Below are 15,501 nucleotides of genomic sequence, written 5' to 3' on the forward strand. Positions count from 1 at the left end.
TCGATAACAATTGAACACAAAATAGTGGTTCCTTACAAACAGATTCATCTTTACCAGCATTTTTAATTATTCTTTTCCATATTGTTTGTAATTCCTGTCTACACTTGGCCCTTGGGATTTCCAAGGTTAACAGTTTGTAAACTATAAAAATGGATAGGAATGTTTGTGAGATTTATTCATATGATTTTTATTTTTATGTCAAAAAATAGGAAATTACAAAGGCTAATTTAGCAAACGCCCATCTACCAGCCACCCAAAATGAACACATGTTAACATTTAGTCATATTTACTCCAGGTCTTTGCTTTTAAGGAAATAAAACATTAAAGTTAAAATGGAAGTTTCCAAGGTTCTACCTATTCCAGCATTAGATTCCTCCTCTTAGGCAACCACTGTCATTAACTGGTGAATATCTAGTCTATGTTTTTATAATTTTGCTACATATATACTCATCCATCAACAATACGCAAGATTAGTCTCCGTTTTATTTTTAATTTAGATGAAAATTATACTGCATGTACCATTTTCCATAGCTTTAATTTTTCCACTCAGCATTGTATTTGGCATCAATCCTTGTTGAAATATATAGCTGTAATACAATCACTGTAAATGCTGTGTGATATTACATTGTATTAATATGCCACAATTTATCCATTTCATAACCCCTGGGCACATGGGCTGTTTATAACTTTTCTACTGTTATAAACACTGTTGAAGTGAACATTTTTGTCTCCTTGACCACTTGACCTACAAGCAGAAATGTTGGGCTATGTTTATGACAAGCATACCTTCAAATATATTAGATGTTGATGCATGCGTTTTTTAAGTCATTGCTGAATATTTACTGTCAACCATTGGCATAATCAAATTCTTCTTCGTATCTTCATCAATACTTGGTATTGTGAGACTTAAAAAATTTTTCAATTTGATGACTGTTAATGGTATTTCTTCAGTTATTTTCATTTGCATTTCCCTGATCACTAGTGAAGTTGAGCATGTTTTCATTACTAGCTATATGACCTTGGGCATATGATCAAGTTTGTCCTTGATTTCCTCATTTGTAAAATGACAGTGGTTAATACCTATCATATAAAGTGGTATAAAAATTAATGCCAGATACAGAGCAGATATGTAATAAAAATTTGATTTTTGTGGTGCTTGTGAAGATTGTATTGGTGGTTACCAGTAGTAAAACTACTACTACTGCTGTTATTTTTGTTTTTTAATACTCTCATCTGTTGTGTATTGCATATGTATTTATCTATTGATCTAATCTTCTTTGCCCTTTTTTTCCATCAGGTTCATGTGATATTTCCAGAAATGCATAGATAAAGGTGATTCAGAATACAGTAGAAAATAACAAAAAAAATCATTAAACCTGTCACATGCAAAAACCAGAGTAGATTTCCCGTACCTTTCATTGCCATTCTTGCACTCATTTTAATATTATCAAGTCATTAATTGAAATTAAAATATTGTATATTTCAACCAATATGTTAAAAAATTATTTCCATGTAGCTGGAATCACCTCTGGAATTGTATCCACATGGATAAAATATGTATTTAAGTATATATGGATCACAATTCTTATATTTGTATGTTATATGTAAAAGAACAATTGGCATTTACTTGTTAAATATACAAATATGTATGCGTGAAGTTACATAAATATACAAATATGTATGCATGAAGTTACATAAATTTTCAGTGTGTTTGTTGACACTACTATTATTAGCTTTATTTACCCTGGCTTTGTATATAGTGTACTTTTTTGTTAGTTTGTTTTCCTGAGACGGAGTTTCTCTCTTGTTGTCCAGGCTGGAATGCAGTGGCGCAATCTTGGCACACTGCAACCTCCGCCTCCCGGGTTCAAGTGATTCTCCTGCCTCAGCCTCCTGAGTAGCTGGGATTACAGGCGCCCACCACCACGCCCGGCTAATTTTGTATTTTTTAGTAGAGACAGGATTTCACCATATTGGCCAGGCTGGTCTCGAACTCCTGACGTCAGGTGATCTGCCCGCCTCAGCCTCCCAAAGTGTTGAGATTACACCCAGCCTGTATGTAGTGTACTTAATAGGAAGGGACATCCTTTTAATTCTCCTCATATTTCTTATAATATGATGCAACACATAATGTGATGCTGATTCAAAGGTATGATGTTCCCTATATAGAACTATGCTTGCACTAAGAAAATGAGAATTTACTGAGTGGTATACATGTATTCATCTAAGCTATATTTTGTGGATATTTTATGGTACCTAAGCTATATATTTTATGGATTCTTTATAACATTTATAAAGAAAATTATAAATGTTAGGTACCTTTTGGGGATACTTCCATAATTAGTGGTTTACATATGACCATGCAGTATGAGTAGATATTTATGTGTTGTGTACCATTGTATGCTCATGCTAAGCTAATTCATAGTAGGTGCTCAAGAAATATTTGGTAGATTAATGAATGTGATTCTGGCCATAGAAATCAGTCTTTCTCACTGAAATTTTAAGATAAAGTAGTTATACAAATTTTACTGTGATTCATGGTTAGTTATCACTATGTAAATCATGCAATGTTGCCTATTTAAAATATCTTAATACTTGCTACAAATTATAATAACTTGTCACATGTTCTGTGTATCCACTGGGATATCAGAAATTAATAGGAGATTCCTGAACATTGCCTATATTAAATTGGGGAAAGAATATAACCATGTTTACTTTATTTATGCTGATGAGCATTTCTCAGTTGTAAAGGAATACATTTATAGTACAATTGCTTGTAAAAATCCATGTATTAAAGGAAATATAAGAATACTCAGTGGGCATTTTATCTTAGATAATGAGTATCTTGATGTTAACATATCTTTAATAATAATATAAATGTCTTCATTATTAGGATTATCTTCCTACAGACAGTATTTTATAATGTTTCATTATTATTCTATTAGCAGTGCCAATTTACACACTCAAATTAATTCAATATATTGGATTCAAACCCATTTGCAATATGTTTTTTCATTTGTACGGGGAAGGTCTCGTTTGACTGTGGGCCTCATTATGAACCTGAGGACCATAGGGCAATTGATGATAAAATCAATTCATGAAGTTTTTGTATCAAAACTTAAAAAAACTTTTTAGTTTCATCCAAGTAACTTCAAATAATTATAGAATTGCTATTTATTTAATGTTTTGTAACCATTAGAAACATACAGAATAAAAGTATCCTAGGATAAGTGACATTTTGAGGTCACTATGAAAGCAGGCAATTTTTAACATATGATGTGTTGAACACTATAGGGATATTTGATGTCTCATTGCTGTTCTTTGAATTCTCTATTTATCTAAGCCTGTGGTCATGATCCCTAAGGAATGCTTTTAAAACAAGAAGGCCAAAGGCAATAATAGCCACTGGTCTGTAATTATTTATCATGGCAAAAATATGATTAGTTCTGAAAGCCTGTCTAGTTAGAGAACTGTTCTAAACTTGTTTTTCTCTAGTGATTCTCAGAAAAGCAGTGCCCACTCATGGAACTCTTATCACTTTTCGAACCCAGGATTTAAGCCAAGTTATATAACACAAGGAAAATATGTTGAGATTCAAGAAAGAAAACTATGAACTATAGATATTTAGGGCATCTAATCTTAATTTTAAACAATTTGTTCACTTGAAAAGGGGAGAGGCTAGACCATATTTTAATTAAAAAATGCAAAAATATAAAGTCATTAAATGAGCATTATCTATTCCTGGGTTAGTCAGGATCCTGTTAGTTTGCAGAACCATCTTTATAGGTCCTTCATGGCACAACATGTTTTTCTTATATGTACTTGGCTAATTAGTCTCCCATAGTGAATTTTAAGGCATATTGAGATATTAGGAAAATTTTCTTGACTATTTCCTTGACTGGGTTCAAATTAGTGAATGATTCTAGAAGTAATTTCAATATGATTCAGATATTTCACATTTTATAGACAAAGGGAATGACTATTGGACTGTCATTTTCTTGTATACAATTGTCTTAAGCTGGAACTGGCTTGACAATTAGAATAAATTAAAATGTTGATTATTGCATATGAAAGACTCTATGCTCTTAGAAAGATCCTTTGAAGAATATTTGAGATATGTTTTAATGTATTTTAAAACATATTTGGAAATATATACAGATAAATATCAACATAAAATATATTCTTTTAATATATTTTAAGAGAAATACATTAAAAGTCACTTTTCTTCCAGTAGTAGCAGTGACTATTATGTTGAATCCACATGGCAAACTGCTTGCCATGTCTCATAAGATCATAATTTCTAAGTATAATTATCCATTCTCCTTAGACTGCACATAACTTTAGATTGGCCAGTCTGGTAAAATTTAGCACTGTTAGGAGTTTAGTTATCCAGGTAATTTATTTTATTAATATCTGGTATTTCTGTAGCATGCTCATTTAATTTTTCTGTATTTTGTACCATTAAAACAAAGGAAGTCTTAACGGACTTCCAGTATTTTGATGAATTCTGTAGAATGTTGCTTCCAAGATGGTAACATCTATGAACATATTGCCTAAGTAAAAGTGTACTGTGGTTTTATGTTGCTTTTTCTCTAAAAAAGAAAATCAATAATGCATTTGTGGTCTTTTTAACAAAGATTAGGTGAATTAAAATAATATCATTATTGCCTCAAAATGAAGTTATCTTTTTAACATTGATAAAGCAGCAGCATGATTATGGTCATATATGAACCAGTGATGTAATTTAGCAGCATGAATTTGGGGGCAAGGACCTAACACTCTACTTGACTGAAAAAGTACTAGCTTTACTTTTCTTATATTTTCTGATGGCCCCATTACTTACAACCCTGTTTTTATATTGGAAAAGGTAAACTGCCAACACTTGAGTACAATGGTAGCTGTAAAATTTCTATACCGGAGGGGTTTGGGGATTTAACTTAATGCTTTATTTTCATAGCAGACAGCCACATTGTTTTTTGGGCCGGCCTACTTGGGGAGTTGGCTGATGGAGGTTATGGAAGGCTAAAGCCACTCCTTGGCACTGCTACTCCTTACCCTTTCAGTCCTTTAAACTGTTTTTAATTATACTGTTACCTTCTAAAGAAAGCAAAGTAAATCTTCTGTTCTAAGGAAGCAAATAGTATTTTTCAAATAGCGAGGGATACAAAGCTAAATTACTCAAAAGAACACATTGCTGAGTCTGTTTAATTACATGTATGCAAATGGTGCTACTGTTGTACAAATTGCAAATGGTTCATAACTATTCTTCAAAACAGTCTCAGCAGGAATTTGTATATGGCAACCTGTTTAGCAGTTAAACTTACCTTAGGTGCTTTAAAGCAATTTCACTGAATTGTTTAAATTTTAGCATATTTTGAGAGAAATGCATGTCTTCCTTTTCCCTCAATTAGTTCAGATTAGTGAGGTTGTACTATATATTTAATTCCAGTACTGCTGTAGGTACCTGGTAAAGGAGTAATTAATGTTGCGTATTAGGTAAGAAGGAGCAATTGATTTTTGGTTCATTTGGCTTATCTTTTCTGCTTAAGTGCTGATATTTAATTTGTAGTGAAAACTCTAAACAACTCTGTATTTTTATGTTTATCCTCTTCCTTGAGCTAATGAAATCAACACATTTATTGATTTCAGAATGAGCTTTATTAATGTAGTTAATATGCCTTACTAATGTTATTCCGTGTACTTGGATTAGTACCCTTATTGTTTATGAATCAACATTTTTTCTTTCAGTTCAAAAGAACGCAGAAGCATTAGAAGAAAAGAAGACTGGGCCTACAAAGAAGAAAGTGAAAGAACTGAGAATTTTGGATCCCAAAACAGCTCAGAATCTGTGTATGTAATATTTTCTTCGTAGGATTGGTATAGGTAACGGTGAGAGGGGTGGGAGCTGTTTAATGTATTTAATGAAAGTTGTAACCTTTTTAAACAGGCATATTTAGCATCTTCTAGAAACAAAATCCTGTGTAAACATGATTTGGTTGCCTTTTTGTCACTTAGCCAGTAAGGAGAAAATTCTAATTCAACCTCTGTCAGGCCAGATGAAACTTGGGAATAGTAAAGATTTGGAAAGTAATGATAATAAAACACTGTTGGAGGACATAGTGAAACATAAGGCAGAATTGACAAAAAGTGATTTTTTTTTCCTTCTCTCTAGACCTGGGATTGATAGTTTTAGAGTATTCACTAGTTACATTGGAAAAATCCTTCTACTGCTATTCCTTTATGTCTGAAGTAATTGCGATGTGAGCTACTTAAATTGTTAACCTTAACTGCATTTAAAAACTGGTTAGTGAATCTTGAAGCCTTTAACAAACCAGTCAGCCATTAAGTATACCTTTTCTAAAGCAGATGGACAGTTAAACCCATCTTCATTTATGTAAGCCTTTAAGTTTTAACATACTCTTCCCTCTGTCTTGAAATCAGAATTTTTGGTCTGTCACTACAGTAGACTGTGTTTAGATTTTGCTGATACAAAAACACTATGCATCAGAGATTTCCACACATCAAGCATGTCTAATTGCACAAAGTAATACCATGGGAGCTTATTTTGTTAAGGAATGTGGTATAGGGAATCATTACAATAAACAAAACATCATTCTCATGTCAGTAGAAATGTTGCTTTCAGAGAAGCAGTTTATCAGTAGCTGTTGTGAATGTGTACATTGCTTATTTGATAGTACATTTTCAAAGTTGACGTTCAGTACTTTTCTTTAAAACACAGTAGGATCTCAATTGCTGGTTGATTTCTGTCAACATTATTCTTTTAGATTGTGGAGATCTCATTTGGTCTTATGTATAAGGTAATCATTTGTCTATAGAGTGAGGATTTTGTTTTCTTTTGGTATGGCTGAAGGCATATAGACCTTTTCATGAAAAAAAGAAAACAAAATTCTTAGAAGTGTTCAAGTTCTGCGTGCCGGGCGCGGTGGCTCACGCCTATAATCTCAGCACTTTGGGAGGCCGAGGCAGGTGGATCACCTGAGGTCAGGAATTCAAGACCAGCCTGGACAACATGGTGAAACCCCGCCTCTACTAAAAATACAAAATTAGCCGGGCGTGATGGCTCATGCCTGTAATCCCAGCTACTTGGGAGGCTGAGGCACGAGAATTTCTTGAACCCGGGAGGCAAAGTTTGCAGTGAGCCGAGATCGCACCATTGCACTACAGACTGGGCAACAAGAACGAAACTGTCTCAAAAAAAGAAAAAAAAGAAAAAAGAAATGTTCAAGTTCTGGTGATAAGAACACATCTGTGTTCTTTAAAAAATATGTTTAATGGAACATGTTGTTGCAAGTACCTTCTGAATAATTGTTAGCTATTCTAGGTTTAATTTGCTGAATTATTCCAATATGATATCATAGATTTCCATTTAAGAAAAAGTTGGCAGGGGAAATTGTGAGTCAATATATAAAGTAAGTAATAGTGTACCACAGGAATATAAGCAGGAATGCAGAGCACACTGATGATTTAGGCACTTTAATTTTTTTCTTATGTGGGAGAATTGCAGAGTAGATGGATATGATTTTTTATTTGGTTATTTTATTGTCTTTCCTGAGAAATACTGTGTTGGGTGCATCTGACAATCTCCACACTAAGTTCTTCATTGAATAAAAAGGTCAACTTGAAATAAAATCTCTTAAGTTTTCATGGGTCATTTTGTGTTATCATCCTAATCTAAAAGGCATAAGCATGTAGTCATGAATGCTATTAGTAGGAATTTTATTTTGTGTGTAAATATGCACTAGCTATAAACATTACAGCCCGAGAAAATATGCCATTTTGTCTAGATGGATAGAGTGAGTAGTCCATCAAATGGAACAACTTTTGTTTGTTCATAATTCTGTATATTAGTGACAAATTTCATATTTTGAGTCTATGAAATGAAAATCAGACGTTTATTAGGACTTTAACATGTTGATGCTGTTATACTTTTAATAAAATCAAATTTTATTTTAGCCATCTTTCTGGGATCATATCGCATGCCATATGAAGACATAAGAAACGTTATTCTGGAGGTTAATGAAGACATGCTGAGTGAGGCTTTAATTCAGGTAACTTGGATATTTTCCTTTTGAAATTCATTTTCACAGATTTTTTTGGACTATTCTCTTCTCAATGGAGTTGTAAGAAAATTCTCTTCTATAATTAGATTTTTAAAAAGACATTGAATAGTTTAATAAAATCAGGAATATCTAGCTGTGTTGATAGTAAGGGGACTCAGTATAGAAAATCTAGGTTCTAATTCTGTTTCTGCCACTTATAAGCTATATATCCGTTTCAGTATAAGCATATGCATATATAGACATATCATTGTCCATTATTCACTGTACATACAATTACATGTACTTCATCACCAAAATGGCTGCATTAAGTGTATATTGTTCTTACCATTTTATGGGTGAAAAACCTGAGGGGTCAAGAGGTTAAATAGCTTGCTGAAAATTAGTGGGTATTTAACATACCCATTGTTAAGTTGAGTATCTAACTTTTACCCAACTCTGTTTGGGTACATAACATGTATTGCTGATTATGGCTAGCACTTTCTGTATTTTTTATTTCATTGAATCCTACAGTAATCCTATGAGATAAGCACTATTATTCTCATTTTACAAATAAGGAAACTGAGGTTTAGAGAGATTGCCCAATTTCACAAAGCTTGTAAGTGGTGTAAGTTGCAAAGTACCAGAACTAGGATTCAAAACAATGTCTGTCTTGACTCTAAAGCTGTTATATTATTCTGCTTTCCATGAACAAACTGTTTAATCTTTCTAAACCTCTATTTTCTCATTTGAAATTACAGGGTCATTGTGAGGTTTTAACCAAATAAAGTGCTTTGTATGATAAAGGACTATACAGAGCTGACACATTATTTGAATTCTTGGTATGTCTGGCCCTGTCTGGTTTAATTTTTGAAAGGAATAACTGTAAAGATTTCTGTGGAAGGGTATAGTCATTGTAGTTTTTTCTGTTTTTCTTTATTTTGTTGTTTTTTGTTTTTGAGCCATGAGTTGGTTTTGAGTTTTAGAAAACATCAAATAGGGCCAGGCATGGTGACTCACGCCTGTAATCCCAACACTGTGGGAGGCTGAGGCAGGCAGATCACGAGGTCAGGAGATCGAGGCCATCCTGGCCAACATGGTGAAACCCCGTCTCTACTCAAAATACAGAAAAATTAGCTGAGTGTGGTGGTGCGCATCTGTAATCCCAGCTACTCAGGAGGCTGAGGCAGGAGAATCACTTGAACCTGGGAGGTGGAGAATGCACTCAGCCGAGCCCATGCCACTGCACTCTAGCCTGGAGACAGAGCGAGACTCTGTCTCAAAAAAAAATGAAACAAAACAAAACAAAACAAAAACATCAAATAGTTAAATAGCTTATGCTATAACTTTAACAATTTTGCCATATTCCCTGCAAACTCTAAATCTCAGAGAACCTGCATATATAATTTGAGCAAGTGATGTCTCTGTGGAAGCTCTTCTATTTTGGATTGTAGGCTTACATTAAAGTTTACCTCATATATATGTCTTAAATCTAGGCGTGATTTTTAAAAATAGGACTCAGGTGTAATAAGATGACCTATGTCATCTCTTCCTTGTTTTTAGACCTCCATTCCCTTTTCTAAGCCTTTATCTCTTTATCTTTTTCATGTATCTGTATATTTTACCCATATCCTGCTTTACCCACCAATTTTGTGCCTTCTGTTTGCTGAGGACTTTTTTAAAGCCAACTTGCTTTCCTTCTCAGTACCAGATACTCTGAAGTTTCTTCTCAATCCTTACCCTGTTTGATCAAAACCCATTTTCTTAGTTTTGCTTGTGGGAAGAAAACAGTTTAACATGTAGTATAATGTACATAATTGGAATTGTGCTACTTGGGTACGGGTGTAGGGCCTAAGTGGCGAGTAACTTACCTGAGTTATTAAGGTTAGTATTGCTTTTATCTAGACAAATCAAATGTCTGAGTATCTTCTGGTAAGGAGGATGGATGCTCCTGGGTAGAAATAATTACATGATTTTCTAGTCCCCAAGAGAGATGACTTCCCTCTGTCAGGAGAAAAGACTATAATCACTAGCACCTTTTTCTACCCCCAATTCCAGAACATTTGTTTCAGTGATGGAAAAGTAACATCAATTTGCCATTCATTTGAGCTGTTTACCATTTATGTCTAATTACCATGTAGCACATCGATAATGCATGGCATTAAATGTGTATCATCAGATTAACTTTGTTGTAAGTTCTATTTGATTACAGTGCTAAACTCCATCCATGCATAATTATTGTTTTTTGCTCATGTAGCATGGTTGTCTCCTCATAGCAACAAAAACAACAAACAACAATTAAGGATACATCACTTCCCAGAACTTGAATTAACAGTAGTAGTATTTTCTCTTCCAGTATGGGTCAATAGGCTCTTGCTGGGCAGACAACTGATAGAATTTAGTTAGTTGGCAGGATAATTGTCTTACTTAAAAAACAAAAAACAAAAAACAGAAAAACTTTTATTTAATCAGCAAGATCCAGCTCTAAGTTGAAGCTTATTAATAAATATCAATTTTCATTTTATTTCAAAATATCTAAATTTAAGCTAGAAAATGAGTTCTCTATGTGGGAAAAATTGAAATGGCCTAAAATACTTGCAGTAGCACGTAGAAACATTTAAAAGTACACCATATCCTGAGGTTGTTGAGGAGTTTTTAATACATGTAATTATGAGTTACTGTCAAATAATGTGTACTAAATTTTGGTGACTTTTAGAATCATTATTCTAGCCTTCAAAATTTGTTTCAGTATAATTGAATTTGATCTATTGAGAGAAAAATCTAAGACCAATCAGTCAGTGCTTTTTAGGATATCAGTGGTAAAACAGAAATATGTATAGACACACATATAGAGCATTGACAGAGTAATGAAACGAGCGGTTTGAAAAAAGTGATGCATGTGTGAAGGGAAAAATAAAAGTATGTTCTATTTGAGATCCTTAGTGCATGCAAATGATTCTAGGTAGGGAGTTTATACTTATATTCTTAAGGAATATGTGAAAAAAAGATGATCAACATAAAAGATAGTGTATTATTACTGCAGAATAATTTGTAAAGATATGATAAAGCATAGGTTGGTAACCTGGAGTTCAAAGCCCTCTTTGGGGACCCATGGAGAGAATTCAGGGGGTCCTGAACTTGTATGCGAAGAATATTACATCTTTATTTTCATTATCTTCTAATTAATATTTAGCATATTATTTAAGAGTATAGGCAACAGACCAAAGTAGTATTAACAGTACCTCTAAGTTTTTCACTAATAGAAATAATAAATATTTTCATATCACATTATAGTTGTGGCAGAGATCTTAAAATACTGTTACAGTCATTAATGCTTCAAAATTACAGTACTTATTAGAGCTGCGACTAGAAATTATTTTTAATGCTTTAATCAAGCACTTCTATCATTATATCACTATTTTGGTAAATATGTTGATAACTATTTAAATGTAATTGGTATTTTATATAATCCTATTTATTTTATTTTATCCTGATATAGAGGTTCACAGAAGGTGAACTGTAGGGTAGGGTGGGCTGTGGTTAAGGTAGTCTTCCTGGAAGAAGTGTTCTAGACTTTGAAACACTAGTAGGATTCAGTTAGAGAGGGCTAGGATAGGAGAATGGTGGCCAAAGGCTTGAGGTATATAAAGGATACTGTCTTTATTTTTCTGGTATAGATAAGCCGTCATATAGGGTAGCAATGAGAAAGAGCGCATAAAAGATTAGTAGCTTGGTGGTGGTCATATTTTAGGGGCACACAGATAGCAAATTGGTGACTCACAGGCATTCACGCTCTCTACCTCTCACTTTCTCTCCCTCACTTCTGTTTTATTTGGCCTTTCTAGTGCCTAATCAGTGAAATTTTAATGTCACACACTCTCCGGTTTGCCACAGGTGCCACCACTCCCTATTGCATTTTACTTACTCTGACTCATTCCTAACCCCTATATACACCAGAAGTTTTGATCCCTGGTAGACAACATGAATGCTGAGCTATTGAGTTTGGTCATGGTCAAATTGTGTGCTTAGGAAAGGTACTCTTAGCTGCAGTACATCAGATGGCTTGATGTAAAGAGACTTGACATAGGGAGATCATTGCAGTTTCAAGCATAAGGTGTAATAAAGCCCTGAATATTTCAGAAGTAGGAGAAAAGGGAATTTGGGTAAATAAGGAATTTTTAAAAAAATTATTAATTGAAAAATCCTGGTGGTAGAGACAGTGGTTGTAGCCCTGACACAAACAGGCAAATCGGGTAGGGGAGAAAATACTTTCAGGGCAAGGGAGAAAAATTTTACAAAAAACATTACATTGGAAAATGTATTGGAGGTCAGAATAGAGGCTGAGACTGAAAATAAGGATTTTTGGAGTCATTTACAAAGAAGTGATTGTTAGAATATCAGGACCAATGGAGTTCTTAAGTTTCCTCATGAAAAAAGTAACAAATGGAAAGTTAAGGACTGCATATCTGGGGACTATACATGTCAAGGGGATGGGAGCTATTAGAGAAATCAGAGCAAAAGGAGTCAGCATATCAGAGAGATGGCCAGGATGCTATAGTGTATCATCAAAGCCAACACAAGAGGCTTTTAAGGAGTGATGAATAAGAGAATGAGATTGGGAGAAGAGATATTTCCTTCGATATGTCAGATTATAATGACTTATTTAGTTTAAATAGTTATTTTTCTATAGTTTTTTCTTGAAACAATCTACACTATATACCAGACACCTGTATTCCTTAAGCAACTGTTCTGTTTATTCATGGTATTTTGGTCTCTGTCTCCCTTATAAGGGACATCTGCATTCCTACTGGGCATGCAACTGTCTGGTGTCCTATCTATTGTTCTTCTTCCACTTGTATTGTTTTTTGTTTGTTTGTTTGTTTTGTTTTTGACATTTCCTTCCTTCCTTTCTTCCTTCTCTCCCTCCCTCCTTCTTTCCTCTCTTCCTGCTACTTTCTCTTACATTCTTTTCATTCCCTTCCTCCCTCATTCCCTTCTTCCTTCCCTCCCTTCCTCCTCTCCTCCCTCCCTTCTTTTCTTCCTTCCTTCCTAAGTAAATTCTTTCTTTGATGAAAGACCTTAATTTTCCTTAATAATACCTAAGGTGAAATACAGCTCCTGGATGCCTCCATACCTGGAAACTACAGAAATACCTCCATAGATGTTTCTCTACGATGCATACATGGGACTATGCCAGCTTGCTTCTATCCCCCACAATCCCCCTCCCCCGCCCCACCAATAATTTCTACATATATTGGCTGTTTTACTTTTCTGAAGCCCATTTGAGTAACCAGCACTGTACTCAATGTGTGGTATTTATAGGTTGCTACACGATTATGTTTTCTCAAATGTGATTTTTATCTCAAAACAGATTATATGATCTATATAACTTATTATTGGATACCGACAGAATAATCAGAATGACACGAAGATCATCTAGTCCATTCCCCTGATTCCAGGCAATGCTACACCTAAGTCATCAAAGATAGATGGGTATCTATTGATTCTGCAGGGAAAAAAGATTCTTCAACTTCCCTCAATTAACCAGTTCTAGAGTATAATTATTCTTATAGTCAGGAAGCTCATGCATGTGTAATAGTAGAGCTCGTTTTTGTCTCCTCAATCCATCTTTGTAATCATTGATCTATTTACGTGGCTATCGACCATCTGTATTTTATGCAGGCTTGTGAGTCTGCATGTGTGCGTGCACTTTACGAGGGTTGATGACTTTAGAAGACTACAAGTATGTCAATTAAGGCTATAATGGCATTAGTATTGTAGAATTTGAAAACATTTTTCTCTTAAATAACAACTTGTATTCACCATGTTCATTTTCATAATTCTTTAGGGAAAATGAAACAGTAGCAATGACAGTAACAATCATAAAACATTTCTTTCTTATTTCTCATCATGGTGGAATAATTATGGCATGCTTTTGCAGTCTGAAAATTCTTTTATCTATAAGCTGCTCTTCTTTCACATCTTTGGCTCTTAAATAGGTGATTAAAAATTTTTTTTTGTTTTTTTCTTTTATTGACGTTTCCTTTGACCCTTGTTTGCTACTTTCAGTCTATTATTATAATTACACATATTCCAAGCAAATGTTATCGCTGCTTATTTTTATTCTCTCTATGTCTATTATTGATTAATGCCAGTATTTTCATTTGTCACCATCACCAGCTGTGTTGTTGTTCACAGAGAAAGAAAAGGTAGCTTTAAACAATTAATTTTTTCTTGTACTAATTGGATTGTGCAAAATGTTTTTAAAATATAAAAAATTGAGCCTATGGCCGGGCATGGTGGCTCACGCCTGTAATCCCAGCACTTTGGGAGGCTGAAGCGGGTGGATCACATGAGGTCAAGGAGTTTGAGACCAGCCTGCCAACATGGTGAAACCCCGTCTCTACTAATAATACAAAAATTAGCCGGGTGTGGTGGTGCACGCCTGTAATCCCAGCTACTCAGGAGGCTGAGGCGGGAGAATCACTTGAACCCAGGAGGCAGAGGTTGCAGTGAGCCGAGATCGTGCCATTACACTCCAGCCTGGGCAACAAGAGGGAAACTCCATCTCCAAAAAAAGAAAAAAAAAATTGGCCGGGCGTGGTGGCTCATGCCTGTAATCCCAGCACTTTTGGAGGCTGAGGCGGGCGGATCACGAAGTCAGGAGATTGAGACCATCCTGGCTAACACGGTGAAACCCTGTCTCTACTAAAAATACAAAAAATCAGCCGGGCACCTGTAGTCCCAGCTACTCGGGAGGGTGAGGCAGGAGAATGGCTTAAACCCGGGAGGCGGAGCTTGCAGTGAGCCGAGATCGCGCCACTGCACTCCAGCCTGGGTGACAGAGACTGTCTCAAAAAAAAAAAAAAAAAAATTGAGCCTATTTACATTTTTAGCAAAACGTAAGTCTCACTAACAGTTCAGTAAGATGCGATCTCAGAAATCATATTTTATGCTGCCTTGGACACTTTAAACCATGGTAGAACTTCATTAGAATTTTGATTCTTTCATACTATATCCATTGGGTCTATTGAAATTAGACGATGGTCAGGGTAGAACAGGAATTTCCTCATAAGTGTAAAACTAGGGGCCAGGTGCAGTGGCTCATGCTTGTAATCCCAGCACGTTGGGAGGCCGAGGAGGGAATATCACTTGAGGTCAGGAGTTTGAAACCAGCCTGACCAACGTAATGAAACCCCGACTCTACTAAAAAAAAAAAAAAAAATACAAAAATTAGTCAGGTGTGGGGGCGCACGCCTATAGTACCAGCTACTCGGGAGGCTGAGGCAGGAGAATCGCTTGAACCTGGGAGGTGGAGGTTGCAGTGAGCCAAAATCACACCACTGCACTCCAGCCTGGGCGACAGAGCGAGACTCCATCTCAAAAACAAACAAACAAACAAACAAACAAAAACAAGTGTAAAACTTGGTAAGTGGCCTCTTTT

At 35.0% G+C, this 15,501-nt stretch overlaps 1 protein-coding gene across 2 annotated transcripts in view; it reads left to right on the forward strand.

Moving 5' to 3' along the window:
* DIAPH2 (diaphanous related formin 2) overlaps positions 1-15,501 on the forward strand; it is a 920,156-nt gene that overhangs the window by 382,351 nt on the left and 522,304 nt on the right. For both annotated transcript variants that reach the window (NM_006729.5, NM_007309.4), the window contains exons 18-19: positions 5,749-5,850; positions 7,975-8,069. In NM_006729.5, the coding sequence (NP_006720.1) occupies positions 5,749-5,850; positions 7,975-8,069 (197 nt within the window). The remainder of the gene's footprint in view (positions 1-5,748; positions 5,851-7,974; positions 8,070-15,501) is intronic.

The sequence above is a fragment of the Homo sapiens genome, chromosome X (genome assembly GCF_000001405.40).
Source record: "Homo sapiens chromosome X, GRCh38.p14 Primary Assembly".
Lineage (NCBI taxonomy): Eukaryota > Metazoa > Chordata > Mammalia > Primates > Hominidae > Homo > Homo sapiens.